A 22,563-nucleotide genomic window follows, 5' to 3' on the forward strand; every position below is an offset into this window, starting at 1 on the left:
GTGGTATCTTGGGGCACCCCCAGTACATGCAACATGCAGGATCCCTCTATCTTACAGATTTTCAGGCATGACAAAGCCCGACCTGTATTTGGGTTACTGCCAGACCATCTGCAGAGAAAGTTTCAGGCATGACAATGCCCATCCTATATTTGGGTTACTGCCAGACCATCTGCAGAGAAAGATGTAGCCCTCGGCTGCACATAACTTACCTTTCCTCATTTTATTGTTCAGTGGCCCATACAAGGGGATAGATGCATTGGCTTTCACCAGCCAAGTCTGATTGATAGCATAGTTGCATGAGCTCAGTTTCTCCCATACAATATTGTTCATGAATCCTACACAGAGCGCTAGGGGTAGTCTGGTCTTTGTTTTCATTATCACTACTGGGACACTTGTAGTCCATGTAATCAAAGGAGTGTGTCCATGAAAGTACCTGCCCACCAAGGTTTTGTTAGTTGTGGTTGTGACATTTTGCCACAGAGTCAGTTAATAGGGCACCTCCAGTTCCCTGTCATGTGGCAGGTGCCAGATCCTTGCTTAGTAAGCCACGCTCAGGTGTTATTGCCTTACACTCTGACAATACTCAGGGAATAATGGTTGATATAGTTTGGTTGTATCCCCACCCAAATCTTGAACTGTAGCTCCCATAATTCCCATGTGTCATGGAAGACCTGGTGGGAGGTAATTGAATCATGAGGGTGGGTTTTTTCCTGTGCTGTTTTCATGACAGTGAATGAGTCTCATGAGATATGATGGTCTTATAAAGGGGAGTTCCCCTGCACATGTTCTCTCTCTTGCCTGCCGCCATGTAAGACGTGCCTTTCTTCTCTTTCACCTTCTGTCATCATTGTGAGGCTTCCCCAGCCATGGAACTGTGAATTCATTAAACCACTTTTTCTTTAAAAATTACCTAGTCTTGGATATGTCTTTATTAGCAGCATGAGAACAGACTAATGGTTTAGTTTACCACTGGCAGAAGGAGAAGGTTGCTGTGGTCTGTGACAGGAGGAGGTCCAGGGTGGCAGATCCAACACTTCGTCAGGTTGCCTGCCATGGCCATAGCTTGAAAGAGCCCACCAAAGCATTACAATTCCAGGCTTCTGCTGCCACATCCTTGTGGAAAAGCAGACTGACAGGTTCGTGCCCCACCCCTACCCCTTCCAGGAGGCCCAGGTGTTTCCTACCCATCAGATATGAATTGGGCTGAGGTGGTGTAGTGACGTAGCCTGTCTGTCCCTCTCCTGAGGCTGCCACTTCTGAGGACACCCCTTGCCCTTGCTGCTTAACCCAGACCTTTTGGCCTCAGTTGTCCAGTGTAGGAAGAGAGATCATGTCCTGTACAAACTTAACATGCCTGATAACACTGCCCACTTGACTGGAAGGATCAGATGTCCCTACTGCCTCTAGAGGGACCCTAGCACCCTTGTATTCCTTGGTTTTGTCGCCCACCCTTGTGGGATCACATAGAGGGGAAGGGAGGCACCAAAGGGAAGCATTGCCTCCAGATTAGAGTCAGAGGGCCCCCTGTCTGGGGGTACTGTGGCAGCCTGAACTGCAAACCACCCACAGGATATGCTCTCTAAAGCGAAAAAAGAATTGTTGGAAACATGAGGATTTTGCAGGCTCAGGCCAATTAGGGAGCTGCCTGGTCCACCACCACCCTTACCAAGTTCAGTGTTTCTCAACATGCGTTGCAATGCTGTGTTTTCCTTGTGTTTAGTGCCCATATTACCCTAGTCAGGTGGGGGTACCACCCCACCAGCAGGTTGTCTTGATGTTCTCTCTTCAGTTGCTGTGTGAATCAGCTGTTCCATCATTTAACGGTTTCACTGGCCTGTGCATAATAGAGTGTATGGAAAGCCCATCATATCTTGTGATCATATCCTCTGAAAGTGTAGCCCGTGTCATGTTGCTTGGGCAGTGAAGTATGCTGTTTGGTTAATGGGACATCTCACAGAGTATCCAAAAAACATGAGATAAGTTATCTCAAGGGTGACTATGGTATTCCTATGAGTGACATGTATTTGTCCCTTTAAGACAGGAAGCTGTTGGCATAGTCCTCGTCCTCACACAGGGGATCCTTTAATAGCCTGGTCACTGAGCCGCTGTTCTCCTGACATTTTAGCTAGGCTGCTGGCAATGGCCCATGACTCAGTGAAAATGTAGCAATATGGTGGTAGGGGTGGCCCTGCTTGACCATCACCACTGCAGGTAGTTTGGCCGGTTGGTTGTAACATCTGTATTCAGTCTGAGTCAAACGATGGCCATCCACCTTTGCAGCCCAATGAACCCCATCTGCTTTTAGTTTCACAGAGCCATCACTAAATGATGCCATATTTTTGGAAGGCATGTGTTTGAATCTTGGGCCCTAGGTAGCCGCAGGAAGAGCTACAGTATCCCCTATGAGTAGCTTGGCCTCTTCTGGGAATACAGCCGTTTGTTCATGGAGACTACTAGTGCCACTAGAGAGACCCAGCACCCTGGTATTCCTTGGTCCTGTCCCCTACCCTTGTGCAATCCCATACAGGAGAAGTACCCCAGGGAAGCATCGCCTTGGTAGGCATACCCCAAGGGAGCCACAGCATCCCCTTCACTTCCTGCTGGACTGTAGTGATTAGCCAGAGGTTAAAGCTTTGAGTTTGTGCAGTTATTTTCTGAGTACGTGTCCTGCCCTGAGCATGTGCATGGCTTTAAAATTTCTAGTATACAGATCACCTGAGGTCGGTAGTTCAAGACCAGCCTGGCCAACATGGCAAAACCCCATCTCTACTAAAAATATAAAACTTAGCTGGGCGTGGTGGCGCCCGTCTATAGTCCTAGCTACTCAGGAGGCTGAGGCAGGAGAATTGCTTGAACCCAGGAGGCAAAGGTTGCAGAGAGCCAAGATCACACCACTGCACTCCAGCCTGGGTGACAGAGTAAGACTCTGTCTCAAAGACAAAAAAAAAAAAAAAAAAATTCCCAGTACATAAAGGTGCTTTTGAATGCCTTAATTTGACAAAGAAACTCTTTGCCCAGCCTTTCCTCCCTGGCTTATAGGGCACTATTGAATACCTCAACAGTAACGTTTTGCTCCTGATGCTTGTGGGCTGTTTATTTGGCTTACAATGTTTTAAGGAAATTCTTGCTCCCTTTTCACCATGAGTGAGTTCTGGGGAAGGTGAAACAAGGATAAGTGCTTTGTGTCAGTCTTCCGATAGCTCGTAGACATGTTTAAACAGAAAAACTCTTTGTGAATGAGGTCTTTTCTCCCTCTGGAAGTAGGAACCTGGGTCCCACACGTGGTAGGAATGAAAAAAGGTAGGTAGGCTACCTTTTTTTTTTTTTTTTTTTTTTTTGAGACCGAGTCTTGCTCTGTCACCCAGGCTGGAGTGCAGTAGCGCGATCTCAGCTCTCTGCAACCTCTGCCTCCCGGGTCTCAAGCAATTCTCCTGCTTCAGCCTCCGAGTAGCTGCAATTACAGGTGCGCGTGCCACCACACCTGGCTAATTTTTGTATTTTTAGTAGAGATGGGGTTTCACCATGTTGGCAAGCTGGTCTCGAACTCCTGACCTCAGGTGATCCACCCCCCTCTTCGACCTCCCAAAGTGTTGGGATTACAGGCCTGAGCCACCCTGCCTGGCCTAGGCTACCTTCTTAGGACCACCATCACTATCAAGCCAGGGAGGGGGGTGTGAGACAAGGGCAAATAAAAACGCCACAAAATTTTCCTACCATTTTTAAGTTGCTTTTTTTCTGATTTGGTGTCCACTTGGTTGGTGTAAACCTTGGACCGTTTTCAGAGTTCAATTAGAGTCTTTTCTAACAGTTGTTGCATTTTTCAATTTTTTTATTTTTGTGATGAAATGGGCTCTTGGAGCTACATTCTACCCCGTTTATGCTGACATCACCCCAAATATTTTTGGTGAGGAAAAGAAACTAATTTGGAATTGACGTCTAGGAGAGATAACTAAGGAGCTGGAGCCACTGATTGCAAAACAGCAAAAACATGGCTAAAGCCTTTAGGCAAGGTCACATTTAAATAGCCAGCGTTTCTAATCATTAATACAACTTCTACACTGTTGCTGTTTTTCACTTTTCCCAACCCATTGGTTGGTGTGATGAGTTAAATTCAAGGCCCAAAACCAACAAGTTCCAGGGTAAAAGTGAATTGCTTTGTTACAGTATAGTTTTATGATGATGAATACCTTCTTTAAAAAAAGCAATGTTGGTTTATAGAGTTTAAGATAAAAAAGTAACCAAGTGTTGGTATGGTGGCTCACACCTGTAATCCCAGCAGTTTTGGAGGCTGAGGCGGAAGAATTGCTTGAGGCCAAGAGTTCAAGACCAGCCTGGCCAATGCAGAAAGACCCTGTCTCTTAAAAAAAAATTAAAACAAAAAATTAGTCAGATGTAATGGCATGACTGTAGTCCCAGCTACTCAGAGGCTGAGGCAGGAGGATCACATGAGCCCAGGAGTTTTAGGTGCAGTGAGCTATGATCGCACCACTGCACTCCAGCCTTAGTGACAGGGTGAGACTCTGTCTCAAAAAAAAAAAAAAAAAAAAAAAGAACGTAACAAAGATAAACTTTGAAATCAGAAAGATTAATAAAAATAAAAGTGGACAACATACACAGCCTAATTTCAGTAATTAATAAAAAGCTTCAGTAATGAAGGCTGTGTGGTGGTATTGGCCTTAGAGCAGACAAACAGATCGATGGCACAGAATTAGAACCACACATATATTGTCAACTGATTTTTTTTTTATATAGATGCCAAGTTAATCCTATCCTGAATGACAGTCTTTTCACAAATGATGCTGAGACAAATGGGCAGCTTTTATGAAAAGGGAATGGACCTCTATCGATACTGCCCAACAAATACATGCGTATGGATCACAGGCCTAAATGTAAGATCAAAACTATTAGCTTAGAGGAGAAAACAGAGATGACTTTAATTGTAACCTTGGAGTAGTCAAAATATTTCTTAGGATAAGAAGGCACTAACCATGAAAAAAATATGATAAATTGGATTTATAAACTTTAAAAACTTCTTATCGAAATATACCATTAACAAAATGCATAGAAAAGCCCCTGAATGGGAAAATAAATGATAAGATGCATTTTCACATATGAATGCATGTAGCAAGTGCAATGAAAATAATATTCCATTTATAGTATGAACAATACATACAATAGTTGAATTTCAGGCATAAATATAAAGGGAAAAAATAACAGAAAAGTTGTACCTTGTACTTGATTGTAAAGACTGTAAGAAAGATAACACTTCCTAATTTAGTGAAGATATTTTAACATAAGACTAATTAATTTTTATCAGTATATTTTAAATAATAATTTAAAATGGGATTTCCAAGTCAAGGAAACATGCCCTTGTTTTTGGTTTGTTGACTTTTTTTTTTTTTTCTGAGACGGAGTCTCATTCTTGTCACCCAGGCTGGAGTGCCTGGTGCACTCCAGCTCACTGCAACCTCCATCTCCCAGGTTCAAGCGATTCTCCTGCCTCAGCCTCCCAGGTAGCTGGGATTATAGGTGCACGCCACCATGCCTGGATAATTTTTGTATTTTCAGTAGTGTCGAGGTTTCACCATGTTGGCCAGGCTGGTCTCGAATTCTTGACCTCAGGTGATCCACCCACCTTGGCCTCCCAGTAGTTTGTTGACTATTCTTAATAGTGCATTTAAAAAAATCAGATTGGAATAGGGCAATCAGGAATTCTAGAATTGGTCTTTGACTTGTTAGTGGATATTCAAATAAACCTTCCAAAAAAGGTTAAGAATACTGGAATAAAAATTAGGCCATGAGCTGCCCCAAATATCATAACAAGAAACATAATCTTAAAAAATGTTCTGAAGATGTATGCTTTCGCTGCAGCTAAAACACACACCCCTATTATTGTTGAAATTGCACTTTGTAACACTGGGTAGCCTAGAAGATACAATGCCTCAACTGATTTTTGGTTTACTGAGGGTTGAGAACTAGAAACAAATGCATAGGAAATGTGTACAGAAAAATCGAAAGAAAACCCTATACAAATGACAAGATTAATCATGGATATGGAATCAAGATTGACTTTCCAGAATGCCATGAAACCCGTTACCCCTACAATCACAGAACCAATAGCAAAAGTCACCCACAAGGAACACAATGGATAAGGGATTAACAATAAGGAAACAATGAACATAGCTGCTGATGCAACCAATACATTTCTAACAGTGTCTTCTAATATTGCAGCATACTGATCAAAATATATAAATGCCTGGTTATACACCATTAGGGGAATTTGACAGTCTTCAGCTATGCGTCGTAATTAGAATAACAATATTTTCTTTTTGGCTGAGGAAGAAACATCTGTTGTCTGAATGAAGCCCCGGGAAGAAATGATTTCATTTGATGAAGAAATATTAATATCATGCTGAAAATTTGGAAAATTGCTTAAAAAATCAGGAATATTGTTCATAAAAGTATTCTTCTCATTAGGATCTTGGCTGTTACCTTTTAAATATTGCACATATGCATCTAACCAAAACTCTGTAAGATTTTTATCTACATAGACATTTTTTTCAAAAATTTTAGTACAGTTTTCCAGTTTTTGCCTAACATCTTTATCCCAGTAGTCAACTTTTTTAGTAACAATAACCATAACCCTGGGACCATAATCTGAAAAATAATTCTCCTCTACGTTAAAATATGGTGTGATGTAGGAATCGTCACTTGCCAGATTTCGAAGGTCTAAACCTTCCTGCACATGGAAACACCCATATATACTGCTTATGATGTACAAAACATATATAAAGACTACAAAATACTTGGACTCACTCCTTGTGAGAAAGGGGCCAAAATAGTCTCTAAAAAACAAACTTATTGGATGGATATCAGTTCCATGTTCATCTGGGACAGAACCAAATGGGAAACAGCAGAACTTTTTAAATGAGGGCCATTTTGGGTCAGCCTTTTTCAACCAGCATAGGCAGACTACTTCTCTTTTACCATCCAAGGCCATAAATGCTCCAAAACACGTGATGTTATAAAAATAGCAAAATAACAGGGTCATTCCTGTATAGATGCAAAAACATTGTACAGACCTAAAAGAGCTCATAATCCCTGTATATAAGGCCAGGATGTTAGTGATGGTGGTGATTGTAATAGACACTGCCGCTTTTGAATAGACATTGGACATCCGCTCTCGTATGTCATCTGCAAGGTTGGTCTTATGCCAGGCAGAAATCATGATAAACATGTCATCGACCCCAACACCTGTAAAAAAAAAAAAAAAGAAAAGAAACAGAATCTTCATCTTCATACATATTAGTATCCATTAAAAATTAAACAGGTTGATTCAAACCATTTTCTTTTTCTGTCTCTTAAGGTTTTATTTATCTTGTCCAACCTCTGATTAAATACTACCTTCTCTGTGATGCTTTCCCTGGTTGCCTCTGAATTTACGACAGAACTCATCACTCCTTCCTTTGTAATAAGTCTTTGCTTTGTACATACTCCTATTATTGCACATAGCACAGTATACTCTACTCTTCACTTAGGGTGTTTCCATGATGAGGTCAGGAAACCTGGCTTCATGGGTATTGGTCAAAGCAGCATTGGCAACGTGTATCTTTGATTCCAATAGATTGCTAGAGAGATCATTTTCTCTTGTAAGATATTTCATGCTCATGTACAGACACAGCCAGCCAACATTCTGTTGCTTGAAATATAAGCTGGACTTAACGTGTTCTACAGTTAGCATCTGGCTGTCTCTGTGGTATGATTTGAGAGGCACCACATAGTTTATAGACACACATAGGCACATGCACAGATGTAGTTTTCCTGCTAGTTTGTTTCTGATACCTAGAATGTTGGTATTCAAATTTCACTTGCCCAGTTCATTATAATGAGATCAGAAATATGTGTCAAGGTAAATCTTAAGAATTCTTTACATATTAATGCCTACTAGATAATTAGCTCCTTTCCTCAGTGATGTTTCAGATTGGTTGGAATAGAGCATCTGAGGATTTTCAAGTCATGACTGAAGCCTGGGGAAGGAGGATTACAAAAAAAGGGAACTGGAAAGTGCAGCATGAGCATGTTGCAGATAAATTTCACCTCCCTCCAACTTCCTACCAGACATGTGAGTAATGAATTGAGTTATGACAATAGGATGGCTATGATAACAATAGATGATAGGAATTTTTCAGCTCCATTATAACCTTCTGGGACTACTGTTGTATATGTGGTCTGCTTTGTATACGCAGTCTATCTTTGACCAAAACATTGCTATGTAGTGCATAATGGTATAAGAAAAAAATATTTGACCTTTCAGTTAATCAAGGGATGCAAATTAAACCACAAGTGAGACACTTGGTTTTCTTATTAATCAATATTAGCAAGACTGAGGATTTTTGGAAGTTTTTCTGCAAATGAAGACACTCATAGTCTACTAAGGAGAAATGGAAATTGGCACACAATTTTTCAGTCCAAGTTTGCAACAAAGCAAAAGACTTAAAAAGGGAGTACCTTTGACTATCAAATCTACTTCTAGGAATTTGTCCTAATTGGACAAATGCTCAAAAGTAGGACAAGTGTTTGGTGTAATTTATAGTAGGAAAATATAGAAAACAACATAATCCCATAACAATATGAGGTTGGCCAAATCAAACATAGTGTTAGATTAGAGTCATATTCAGTCTTTTTAAAAAGAGGTAGATATTCAATGTTAAATGAACATTTCTTGTTATAAAATAAGATATTTGAAATGGAGAGAGAGCTATATGTGTATATTTGCATAGACCAAATTCTGGATGGATATACATAAAGATATTAGCAGGAATTATCCCTGAAGGGTGGAATTACAGTTGTTTTCCATTTTTCTTTGTATTTTTGGTAAGCTCAGAATTTATTTTAGTAAGCATTAGAAAATAAAGGTGTTTATATTTTGGAAAGTAAGCATCTTGGAAAAACTAATATTTGGTTTTCTGGGGGAGATAGTGAGTTGTGTACTGGATATTAGCTTATTTATTCTAGCTTTTCAAGGCATACCTTCCTCGTATGCACTCACACCTAATCATCCAGTGTACCCCACAGCCATAAATAACTATAGTTAAGATATATATAATTGATTTAATGTAAGCCATTTTGTAGAGTTTGCAGGGAGGCCTAGGACATTCCTGTATATAACTGTAGACTTTATAAACACCAGATACTTAGGTTATTTTTAAAATTTAAAATTTAAATTTTAAAATTAAATTATTAAATTTAAAATTTAAAATTATTTTAAAATATATTTTTCTTCAATAATAAATTAACCTTAGCTTACTGTAACTTTATTATTTTATAAACTTTTAAGTTTTTAAAAAAGTTTTTGGCTTTTTATGATAACACAGCTTAAAATACAAAAACATTGGACAGCTGTACAAAATATTTTCTTTACTTATATCTTTAATCTATAAGCCTTTTTCTATTTTTAAAAATCTTTATTTATGGCTGGGCACGGTGGCTCACGCCTGTAATCCCAGCACTTTGGGAGGCCAAGGTGGGCGGATCACGAGGTCAGGAGATCGAGACAATCCTGGCTAATATGGTGAAACCTTGTCTCTACTAAAAATACAAAAAGAAATTAGCCAGGCGTGGTGACGGACGCCTGTAGTCCCAGCTACTCGGGAGGCTGAGGGAGGAGAACGGCGTGAACCCGGGAGGTGGAGCTTGCAGTGAGCCAAGATCACGCCACTGCACTCCAGCCTGGGCGACAGAGCGAGACTCTGTCTCAAAAAAATAAATAAATAAATAAATAAATAAATAAAATAAAAAATCTTTATTTTTATTTTATTTTTTTACTTTCTAAACTTTTTATTAAAAACTAAGATACAAAAACACATATGAGCATAGTAGTGCATGCCTGTAGTCCCAGCTACTCGGGAGGCTGAGGCAGGAGAACAGCTTGAACCCGGGAGGCGGAGGTTGCAGTGAGCTGAGATTGAGCCACTGCACTTCAGCCTGGGTGACAGAGTGAGACTCCGTCTCAAAAAACAAACAAACAAACCAAAAACCACACACATTAGTCTAGGCCTACATAGGGTCAGAATCATCGCTATCACTGTCTTCCATCTCCACATCCTGTCCCACTGGAAGGTCTTCAGGACACGTGGAATTGTCTCCTATGATAACAATGCCTTCTTCTGAAATATTTTCTGAATAACCTACATGAAGCTATTTTACAGTTAACTATTTTTTTCATAAGTTAGAGTACACTCTAAAATAATGACATAAAATTTAGCATAGTGAATACATAAAGCAGTAACAATTGTTTATTATTATGTTGTGTACATAATTGTATGTGCTATACTTTCATAAGACTGGCAGAGCAACACGTTTGTTTACACCAGGACATAAGGAAAGAAAATACTATTGTACAGCTGTCCATTGTGTTTGTGTTTTAAGCTGTGTTATCACAAAAAGTAAAAAAGTTTAAAAGAAACTTTAAAGTTTATAAAATAATGAAATTATAGTAAGCTAAGGTTAATTTATTATTGAAGAAAGAAAAATACATTTTTAAATAAATGTAGCATAGCTTAAGTGTCCAGTGTTTATAAAGTCTGCAGTAGTGTACAGGAATGTCCTATACCTTATGTTCACTCAACATTCATTCACTGACACCCAAAGCAACTTCCAGTCTTGCAAGCTCCATTCGTGATAAGTGCCCTATACAGGTGGACCATTTTTCATATTTTCTACCATATTTTTACTGTACCTTTTCTATGTTTAGATATATTTAGATATACAAATACTTACCATTGTGTGACAGTTACCTATAGTTTTCAGCGTAGTAACATGCTGTACAGGATTGTAGCCTAGGAGCAAGAGGCCCACATAGCCTAGGTGCGTTGTAGGAAATATAATCTAGGTTTGTGTAAGTACACTCTAGGAAGTTTACACGATGTTAAAATTGCCTGTGGATGCATCTCTCAGACCCTCAATGTTAAGTGATACATGACTGTATTTTTAATGACGCGTATTTTGTTTTTTACATGTGAACTGCTGTTCACGTACATGGTCTGTTTTTCCATTAGGATACTCGATCTTTCCACCTCTAGAGATATCCAGTTCAATTTCATTTCCCTGTTTCCTGGCACCTCATTTTTGAACTGTAGAGCCACCTTAATACAATTCTTTCCCTTATATATATCCCCTACCCCACCACATACACGGTGTGCAGCCTCCCGTTTTGTTTTACTCACCTAGAATAAGAAATGGTGAATTGGCAACTATGATGACAAATGGCACCCCAATGTGCAACAGCAGGCCAAAGCCGCTCACCACTGCCAAGAAAGCAGAAATCACTCCAAAGGCCGCAACACACATTTTGTTTCGTATGCAGTCAAACCTGTAAATTTGGAGGGAAAAATCATGGAATTTGTGGTGGTAGCTTTCATCAATGGATAACATTCTTGACTTGGACACCTAGTCATAAATCTCTAAGACAGTAATTTCCACACATATCTGCTGGAGACCTTTAATTCCCAGGGACTATCTCAGAACAACTGAAAAAAAAAAAAGGAAAGAAAGGGAGCAGAAAAGTTAGAAATCTGTAAATCTGTACTTCTACCGACTCTGCTATATGTGATTCTTTGCAGCCAGCCAAGCACTAAGTCACTGACTAGCATTTTGGAACCACAAAGAATTACTAAAACACTGCTAATGGCTAATTCCACTCTGATCTTCAGAAGGGTGTGAATGGAATATAACAGATAATGAAGAGCAAGCTGTACTAGAGAAAGAACATAGATCCAATTATCTTTTTATCCATCCCTGGTCTCTAACTAGCCATAACACAACATTAAATGCCTCCTGTATTTCAAAGTTAGTACAATGTGTATTGTTGTTAACATAAAGTAGGAAAGTCTTTTAAGTTACTTTCAGGATTCTTCTCTACTGGTGAAGTGGGCTCTGTGGAAAAGTTGCTACGAATTTGGAAAAAATTAAAATGTGCTATATTTTAAATGACCCAAACTGTGCCTGTTTCCTTGGCAAACCAACAGAAACAGGACTATATACAAAATATTTTAAAGCATGATTCAGTGCTTTACCTCCTCAGCAACCATAACATTACCTTTTAAAAGATTGGCAACAACCTCTGGTTTTAGATTTTGCTTGTTAGAAATTGCTTCAAAACAAATGACTGATACCTGCATTCAGATATTTTAGTAGGGGAGAGAAACTAAGTTTGGAATTTTAGTCTAGGAGCTGAAGAACTGGAGCCACTGGTTTCAAAACAGCAGGAACATGACTGAAGACCTGCAGGGGAGATCACATTTAAATAGATAAAATTCTTCTTCTTAATAAAATGTCTATACTGTTATTGTATTTCACTTTTTCTTAACCTGGTACTATGAATTAAGGTCGGGGCCCCAACTCAACACACATACACATATAAATTCCAGGGCAAAAGTAAATTGCTTTGTTATAATAAAATCTCTTACTATAATTCTTTCTTTCTTTCTTTCTTTCTTTCTTTTTTTTTTTTTTTTGAGACAGACTTTTGCTTTTTTTGCCCAGGCTGGAGTCTCACTCTGTCACCCAGCCTGGAGTGCAATGGTGCAATCTTAGCTCACTGCCACCTCTGCCTCCCGGGTTCAAGTGATTCTCCTGCCTCAGCCACCTGAGTAGCTGGAATTACAGGCATGTGCCACCACACCTGGCTAATTTTGTATTTTTAGTAGAGATGGGGTCTCACCATGTTGGCCAGACTGGTCTTGAACTCCGGTGATCCGCCTGCCTCGGCCTCCCAAAGTGCTGGGATTACAGGCATGAGCCACTGTGCCCGGCCTAATATAATACGTTCTTAAAACAACAATATTGGTTTATAGGAGTTTAAGATAAGAAAGTAAAAGAGATGAATTTCAAAATCAGAAAGATTTTGGATAAAAGGATAAAAGGTATATATGACAAGGTTATGCCCATTCCTCCTTTTGAGTTTCTGGATTTCTTAGGTGTGAATTTTTCAGAGGATAGGGGAGTGAAGTATAGTATTGATTATAGAGACTTTGGCTAGATATAAATAAAGTTCAGGACTATCTGTGGTTTCAGGCATCCGTTGTATGTCTTGGATAGTATTCCTGTGGAAAAGCAGGGGATTACTATACATAAAATAGCATGAGCTATAATTGAGTTCAATTTAGAGCACAGACTTTTGAAAAAGTCTTATTTAAATGACTTCATTGCAAGACAATAAATATAGAACCCTGAAATATGTTTCAGTAAGTGTCTTAAATGAGCTAAAGGCAGGTATGCAAGGTATAACCTTCATATATGAGAGTGTGTGAGACAGGCAAAATGGGGATATGTCCTAGAACTGTCTAGGAAGCTCCACCCAGAACGGACATGAGACCCTCTGTGATAAGGAAAGAGAGGGAGCGAGAAGTGTCCAGGGAACTTACAAAAGCACTTGCAGGCAGCCGGGTGCGGTGGCTCACGCCTGTAATCCCAGCACTTTGGAAGACTGAGGTGGGCGGATCACCTGAGGTCGGGAGTTCGAGACCAGCCTGTCCAACATGGTGAAACCCCGCCTCTACTAAAAATACAAAAATAAGCCAGGTGTGGTGGTGCATGCCTGTAATCCCAGCTACTCAGGAGGCTGAGGCAGGAGAATCGCTTGAACCTGGGAGGCAGAGGTTTCAGTGAGCCGAGATTGCGCCATTGCACTCCAGGCTGGGTGACAGAGTGAGACTCCATCTCAAAAAAGAAAAAACACCAAACAAACCAATACTTGCAGAAGGATCAGTTTCATATTCAAAGCCAGAGAAGACATATATTAGACTGTCATGGCAGCATTCATGTCTTAAGAATTTTTCGATTCCATTTTTCCTACTGTTTGAGCATGCTCCAGTCTGTGAACCACTCAGCAAGATGGATAGTGAGAGAAGTGATAGGAGAGGTCTGGAATATCCCTTTTTCCCCATTAAAGGCTATTCCATGTAGCATGCTTCAGCTAGGAGAGGAGGAAAAACCTTAGCTTCAAATCAAGTTACCACTTTTGTTTATGACATGAACATGAACATGAACATGGACATTTTAATTCTGACTGGAGGACTTTTTGTCTTGCCTAAGAATTACCGTAACGTAGGGATTGCCTGAATTTTCATGAGGCAGAGGAAGAACTTGCTCTACCTAGTAAACTTACAAACTTACAGGAAACAAAGGGAGACAAAAATACAACTGCTTTATGTTTATACCTTATGAGTCTTGTGTTCAATATGGTGGTTACATAAGCATAGAAGAGTCTTTGGAGACAACTATAAATCATTTTCCAATTCCCTTAAATAAAATATTTTTGTGCATTATTGTCCAAAATCACTTGTAAAGATATGTAAGAACTGACTAGAGTTTGTATTTTCAAAACCAACTATCTAGTAGAAAAGTTTTGTTAAACCAATTATTGGTAACATGTAGACTGAATTTTTAAAATGCTTTATCCTACTAACTTTAATAGCCTGAATTTTGTGGGGTTTTTTTGTTTCTTTTTAAAGTTTCTTTGTTTTCTAAGTGATGTGGTCTTCCTTTCCAGAGTAACAAAATTATGAGGTAGTTCATTGACCCTAAAGAGGTCCCCAGTGTCTTCACATCCCTTTACCTACTGAGACTTCATCTTTCTTTTCCTTACATCTAAATAGTTAAATTATATTATTTGTTCCTAAACCTACCTACACATAAGAATCAGCTAGAGAAATTTTTGAAATATAGAGTTCCAGATTTAACCCCAAGATATTTTAATTTGATAGGGCGGGGCCTGAGAATATCTGGTTTATGGCTCTCTGGGTGACTCTGATGTAAAATAATCTATTTATTTTAATAGAATTAGAATATAATCTATGGGGTTCCTCCTACATCTAAATTCTGTTGTTTGATGATATCTTTCATATTTAGTTTGAACTCAAGAACACAAACTACCCCTAATGCCTAGAGAACAATTTTTAAGTGCTTAACAAGGTAAACTGCACATCAGAACGATGGAGACACTTAAGTCAATTAAATTAGAACTTAATTTTTTATATAGTGAAAAGTACTATTTCAAATTAGCAGAAATAGGACATGCTTCTTGGTTCTACCAACTTATCTGCCTTCCAAATGGAACAATTAATCATAACTGATGCAATATGTAAGGTAAAAAAGATATGCCAAATCAAACAAAACCAGCCACAATTTCTTTTACTATTCCATTTGATTAGACACTATTGCTGATGGGAAAAAATGTTTTTAAAAGTCACCAGGTTTAAAAAACAAGAGTTTAGCACTGGATGTTAGGAAGAATGGCAGAAAAAAAAGCTCTTGTCCTCTCAAAGAATTATCAAAAAAAAAAAAAAACAAGCAGAAACTGTCAGAACCAATTTTATGAACCCTGGAAAATAGTCGAAAAGTTACAGCAACCAAGCGAATGATGAATCCAAAAAAAAAAAAGCCCCCCCTTTCTGGCATGGTGGCAGTCTTAAAGCAGTAAGTCTTAAAGTGGCATGGGTGTTAAAGTGGTCACACTCTTAAAGCGGCCATAGTCTCAAAGCAGCAGCAGTATAAAGTGGTCACAGCCTGAGTTCCCAGTGTGAGAGTGTTTCACTGGATCTGGAGGGGGCAGAGCAGATTTTACTCAAAAAATATTGTATATGAAAATTAGCTGGGCATGGTGGCGCACGCCTGTAATCGCAGCTACTCAGGAGGCTGAGGCAGGAGAATGGCGTGAACCCAGGAGGTGGAGCTTGCAGTGAGCCGAGATCGTGCCACTGCACTCCAGCCTGGGCTACAGAGTGAGATTCCGTCTCAAAAAAAAAAAAAAAAATTGAAATGTGGCTAGGCATAGTAGCTCATGCTGCACGCACCAATGGGGGTGGCTCACAGTGTAATCCCACCACTTTGGGAGGTTGAGGTGAGAGGATCACTTGAGGCTAGGAGTTCAAGACCAGCCTAGGCAACACAGCAAGATCCTGTCTCTACAAAAAATAATAAAAATTAGCCAGATGTGATGGCATGTGCCTGTAGTTCCAGCTACTCAGGAGGCTGAGGTGGGAGGATTGCTTGAGTTTAGGAGTTCAAGGCTGCAGTCAGTTATGATTGTGCCACTCCACAGCAGCCTGGGCAACAGGAAAAGACCCTGTCTGAAAAGAAAAAAGAAATGTGAAGAAAAGAAAGCATAATAGAGGAAATGAAGGACAAAAAAGTTATAAGACAGATAGAACATAAATTTAAAAATGTTACAAGTTCTTTCTTGTCAGCAATTACCTTAAATGTAAATAGATTAAACTCTCCAATCAAAAGACAGGTTGGCAGAATGGATAAAACAACATGATCTAACTATATGCTGTTTACAGACTTACTTTATTGCCAAAAATATAAGTAGATTGAAAGTACATAAAAGGATACTCTACACAAATAGTAACCAAAATAGAGCAGGAATGGCTACACTAACATCAGGCAAAACAGACTTAGAGACAAAGGAGTACATTATATATTGATAAACGGGCCAATTCCCCAAGAAGCTATAACAACTGTAAACATATGTGTACTGCATAACAGATACCCAAAATATATGAAGTAAATATTGACAGAAGTGAAGGGGGAGATAGAGCGCTCTACAATAATAGCTGGAGAGGACTAGGCGTGGTGACTTACACCTATAATTTCAGCACTTTGGAAGGCTGAGGTGGGTGGATCACTTGAGGTCAGGAGTTCGAGACAAGCCTGGTCAACATGGTGAAACCCCATCTCTACTAAAAATACAAAAATCAGGTGAGCATGGTGATATACACCTGTAATCCTAGCTACTCAGGAGGCTGAAGCAGAAGAATTTCTTGAACCTGGGAGGCACAGGTTACAGTGAGGCAAGATTGTGTCATTACACTTCTGCCTGGGTGACAGAGTGAGACTCTGTCTCAAAAAAAAAAAAAAAAAAAAAAAGAAAAAAAACTGGAGAATGCAATATACCACTTTCATCAATGCATGAAACATCTGAGAAGAATATCAATAAGGACATAGAGAAATGAACAACACTACAAACCAATTAGACCCTACAGAATTATATAGAAGACTCAACCCAATGACAGCAAAATATACATTCTTCTCTAGTGCCCATGGAACATTCTCCAGGATAGATCATACATTCAGCTGTAAAACAAGTCTAAATAAATTTTAAATGATTGAAGTTATACAGTGTACGTTTTTCTAACCAACAATAGAATAAAGCTAAAAATCAATAATAGGAAAACTGGAATATTAACAAATCTACAAAAATGTAACAATACACTATTAAACAATCAAGAGACATTAGAAAATACTTAGTTAAGAATGAAAATGAACACACAACATACCATAACTTATGAGATACAGTGATAATAGTGCTCAGAGGGAAATTTATAGCTAAATACCCACATTAAAAAGAAAAAGGATTTCAAATCAATAACAACTTGTGGATCTAGGGAAAGGAGGGAAACCAAACCCAAAGCTAACAGAGGTGTGTTAGTCTGTTCTGCCCACTGTAACAAAATATCTTAGACTGAGAAACTTATAAACAACAGAAAATTGCTCCTTACAGTACTAGAGGCTGAGAAAGCCAAGGTCAGGGCCAAAGATTTGGTGTCCAGTGAGGATTTGCTCTTTGCTCCACAGATGGTGCCTTCTTGCTATGTCCTTACATGGTAGAAGGGGCTAATAAGCTCCCTCGGAATTATTTTTAAGAGTATCAATCCCATTCTAATCACCTCTCAAAGGCCCCACCTCATATTACTATCACACCAGGAATTAGGTTTCCACATAGGAATTTTGGGAGGACACAAACATTCAGGCCACAGGAAGAAGGAAGGAAAGAATAAAGATTAGAACAGAGGTGAATACAGAATAGAAAAACAATAGAATGAATCAATCCAAAAGTTGGTTACTTGAAAATATCAACAAAATTGACTAAATTTTACCTAGTGTCACGAAGAAAAAGAGAAGACACAAATAACTTAAGCTGACATGAAAGCGGAGACGTTACTACTGACCTTATAGAAATAGAAAAGTTTATAAGAGAATATTATCAAAAACTGTATGTCAACAAACTGGATAACCTAGATGAAATGCATGAATTCCTACAAAAACACAAATGACCTAAACTGACTTAAGGTGAAATAGAAAATCTCAAGGCCTATAACAAAAGATTAAACCAGTAATAAAAAAACTCCCAATAAAGAAAAGTCCAGGACCAGATTTCACTGATGAATTCTACCAAACATCTAAAGTGGAGGTAACAGGAATCCTTCTCAAACTCTTCCAAAAAATTGAAGACGAGGAAATATTTCCTAACTCACTCTGGGAGACCATCATTACACTGACACAATACCAGACAATGACATCATAAGAAAAGAAAACTACAAACCAATAGCTCTCATGAATATAGGTGCAAAAGTCATAAACAAATACTAGTAAGTCCAATCCAAAACGTATTAAAAGGATTATACATCATAGCCAGCTGGGATTTATCCCAGAAAGGTCATCGGGAGAAAGTCAGTCAATGTAACATACCATATTTATAGAACAAAGGACAATAACCACATGTTCATCTCACTAGATGTTTAAAAGGCACTTGACAAAATCCAATACCCTTTCATAATAAAAACACTAAAAAACTAGGAATATGAAGGAAAATTCCTCAAAATAATAAAGGCATTTATAAAAATAGTAAAACTAACATCATACTCAAGGGTGAAAGAATGAAAGCTTTCCTCTAAGATCAGATCAGATCAGAAACAAGACAGAAAAGACTCCCACTTTCCCCATTGATATGCGATGTTGTACTGGAAGTTCTAGCCAGAGCAATTAGATTAAAAAAAAAATAAAAAGCATCTAAATTGGAAGGGAAGAAATATAACTCTCCCTCCTCAGAGATCACATGATTGTATATATGAAAAATACCAAAGAATCCAGAAGAAAACTACTAGAGTTAACAAATTCAGCGCAGCTTCAGGATATAAGAGCAACACCAAAAAATTAGTTGTGTTTCTATACATAGGCAGTGAACAACCCAAAAAGGAAATTAAGAAAGCAATTCTATTTAAATAGCTCTAAATGAATGAAACACCTAAGAATAATTTTAACCAAGGAGGTGAAGGATCTGCACACCGAAAACCAGCAAACATTGGTAAAAGAAACTTAAAAAGACCTGGATAAATGGAAAGATCCTTAGTTCCTGGGTTGGCAGACTCAATATTTTTAAAATGCCAGTCCTACTCAAAACAATCTGCAGATTCAACACAATCCCCATCAAAATTCCAACAACCATTTCCCCCCCAGAAATAGAGAAGCTGATTCTAAAATTCATATGGAATTGCAAGGAGTCTAGGATGATCTATATAATCTTGAAGAACAACAAAGTTGAAGGAATCAGTATTATTCAGCCATAAAAAGCAATGGAGTTCTGATACACGCTACAAGGATGAACCTTGAAAATATTATGCCTAGTGAAATGAGCCAGTCACAAAAAGATAAATATATGATTCCACTATATGAAATCTTGAGGAAAATTCACAGAGACAAAGTAGATTAAAGTTAACTGGCACTGGGTTGGGGGTGGTGGTGGTGATGGGGAATTTATTGCAAAATGTTAACAGAGTTCTTGTTTGGGATGATGCAAAATATTTGAAAACAGATCATTGTGATGGTTGCATGCCAATGTGGATGTAATTAATGCCACCGAATTTTACACTTAAGAGTGGCTATAACATCATATGTTATGTCATATATATTATTATATTTTACCACAATAAAGTATTTTTCATAAAGTAAGAGATTTAAAAACTAATCAAAGCTTTTTACCTAAAGCATGATGTGACTGCAAACAGAATGATGAGAATGTATGCCAGGTGAAACACAGGGATCACAGTCACAGAAGTTGCCTCAAATTCCAGTTGTCTGGAAAGCGATGTAAAGTGGACTACCTGCCACAAAAATATACTCAGATAAATAGCTTTTAATTACAATATTTGTGTGTGAGTTACAAAAACTATTGAAACACTTTATCTTAGTGATGAAACAATATGTATGTTAAAATTCAGCAAAAGATAAAAATACATGGATTATGACTTCAGAATAGAGAAAATAATGTAGATTTGCTTCTTTCCACACATCTATGGATTCCCCAAGTTTCTTTCAAATTCAAAGTTTAAATAAAACTCCTGAATAAACAAAATCTGAATTTTATATAAAACTTTGAAATCTTTTTTTTTTTTGAGACAGGGCCCTCAACCTCCTGGGCTCAAGTCATCCTCCTGCCTTGGCCTTACGAATAGCTGGGACTACAGGTGTGCACCACCACGACTGGCTAACTTTTGTAATTTTTGTAGAGATGGGGTTTTGCCAGGTTGCCGAGGCTGGTCTTGAACCCCTGGACTCAAGCAGTCTACCTGCCTTGGTGTCCCAAAATGCTGGGATTATAGGCGTGAGCCACCACACCCAGCCTAAAACTGTTTAATCTTGTTCTCATTAATAGCTGCAGAAATTGTAACTTTTTCTAAATTTGTATTAGGTTAGTGTCTTTTACTATTTCAGTTGCATAAATATTTCAGGAGGGCCTGGTCTTTGAAAGCTCTTTCCAGCAGGTGTCTCTTTCACTAGGCTTATTTATACATCTGAATAGTGTTGCAGATCCACCAATAACTGAACAGCTAATATGTACCTCACACTAAGCCAGGTGCTGCTTCGTATGTATCTAACTTGAAAAATGCTAAGCTAGTTATCTTCTTAAGGCTATGGAACTTTTACTTAAAAGACGGTTTGTTTTTTAATCCCAATGAGCTCCAAGCAAGTTTTAGGGGTTCCCCCAAACCAGTGAAGACTTTAACTAAAAGTAGAATTTCAGAATACTGTAATTTGATTAGAAACCAAACCCCAAAATTAAACATGAAGATCAATGTCTGTACTGAACAGGCCCATCTGGTGGACATAGGATTTGTGTTATCGACTAGAATGCTACCAAGGATTCACAATTTCTGGCATCCGTCGGTGTTAAGAAAATTGGGTTGAGTACCAAATACAGTAGAGCACACCCAGCCTAGAGGCAAGGGCCCCGTAAAGTAGTCAGGAAGTGCTTTTGTTACGATTCTGGGGAGCAAGTCTTCCTCATCCCTCTCACCTTCTCCTGGCCTCCCTGTAAACCCACACCACCAGGTACCTCAATTTTTTTCAAGGCCAAGATGTTCTTAATGTTGGTAAATTGATCGAGCAAATGGGTGAGCCACTGCTTGCTCTGCACGTCGTACTCAGGGTCCTCGGTCTTCAGGTAGTACAGCAGCCGCATGGCTTTGGCCCGCAGGAGTAACTGGCCCATTCCTAGGCTGCCCCCCAAGATGTATCCTCCGAAGAAGCCGGTCAGGTAGAGGGGATGCCTGCCGTGGTTGTAGGCGGGGAAGGAGATGCTGCTCAGGTTGAGCGTTTTGTTCACCTGCCAGGCGTACAGGATCGGGTTGGGGGGCACGCAGAGCGCCCTGTACCTCGCGCACACCTGCTGGTACTGGATCTGGCTTCCCTTTTCCCGCGCCACGCGCAGATCCTGCACCGCGCCGTCCAGTTTGCTGACTTCTGCAAAGGTAGCTGGGTCCAGCAGTGAGTCGCTGTAGGAGACCACCAGAAGCGAGACGAAATTGGCTTCGGTGCTCCTCCTGGAGGCGGAGAAGCGGTAGGAGTCGTTGGTGGTGAAATGGCCCTGCACGAAGCGCCGCTCCGCCTTGGCCGGGCTCCCCACAGGGGTGTAATGCTCCTCTAGGTCTTCCTCTTCGTCCTTGGGTAGGTACAGGAAGCCGGTGCCCAGCGCGGCTGTCAGCATCAAGGGCGCCAGCAGGAAGATCCAGGGGTGCGCGCCCACCTGCCACCCCAGCCACTGGAAGGTGCGGGACAGCAGCCCCTCTAGGCAGTCGGTGTGACAGCGGTGCCGGTGCCTGCAGATGGCCGTGGGTTCGGGGGTTTCCTCCTCCGGCAGGGGTGCATCGTCCAGCTCCAGCGGCAGGCGGGGTGCATCGTCCAGCATCGACGGCCGGGGGGGTGCATCGTCCCCCTCTGGCAGGGGTGCATCCTGCTCCGACGCCAGGGGTCCTGAGGGTTCGGGGGATTTCGGGGGTGCCAGGGGTCCCGGGGGTGGCTGCTTGCCTTCCGACTCCGATTCCTGAGATTCCTGGTACCACTGCGGCCCGGTGGCAGAGTCCGGTTTGGTGAGCTTGGGCTTCTGCTCCGGCCCCGGCCTGGGCTTGGGCTCCACCCACGGCATTGATTCTTCCTCTTAGGAAGCGCAGGAGGAACAGCAGGTGAAAAGCAGCTGCGGAGATCCCACCAGACGGTTTCCTGGCCCCACCCAACGCTCTCCTGGCCCCACCCAACGGTTTCCTGGAGAAATTCTAGGGGAGTTTGCCCTCCAGCCGCGCTCCGGAAGCGGAGGCTGCGTTGGGAGCACGTGGTTTGCCCCGTCGCCCAACTAATCTGAAATGTGTTTGTGGCGTGCCTGGTTTCTCAGGGGTTCTGCACATACAAGGAACGCTTCTTCAAGGCCATCAAATGCGTGCCTATCCT

At 40.1% G+C, this 22,563-nt stretch overlaps 1 protein-coding gene across 1 annotated transcript, besides 1 other annotated feature; it reads right to left on the reverse strand.

The window, feature by feature from the left end:
* Positions 1 to 5,134: 5,134 nt before the first annotated feature.
* PTCHD3 (patched domain containing 3 (gene/pseudogene)) lies at positions 5,135 to 22,361 on the reverse strand. Its single transcript, NM_001034842.5, has 4 exons — positions 21,176 to 22,361; positions 19,822 to 19,943; positions 11,226 to 11,371; positions 5,135 to 7,254 (listed from the first exon to the last, which is right to left on the reverse strand). The coding sequence occupies exons 1-4, from the start codon at positions 22,262 to 22,264 to the stop codon at positions 6,308 to 6,310; spliced, it is 2,304 nt and encodes a 767-aa protein (NP_001030014.2). The 5' UTR covers positions 22,265 to 22,361; the 3' UTR covers positions 5,135 to 6,307.
* Positions 21,414 to 21,708: a silencer, noted in NCBI's record as "tiled region #9566; K562 Repressive non-DNase unmatched - State 20:ReprD". NCBI's record gives its function as "represses a minimal TATA promoter and a strong SV40 promoter by Sharpr-MPRA in K562 cells {active_cell/tissue: K562}" and the evidence as "EXISTENCE:reporter gene assay evidence [ECO:0000049][PMID:27701403]".
* Positions 22,362 to 22,563: the final 202 nt, after the last annotated feature.

Source organism: Homo sapiens, chromosome 10 (assembly GCF_000001405.40).
Source record: "Homo sapiens chromosome 10, GRCh38.p14 Primary Assembly".
Classification (NCBI taxonomy): Eukaryota; Metazoa; Chordata; class Mammalia; order Primates; family Hominidae; genus Homo; species Homo sapiens.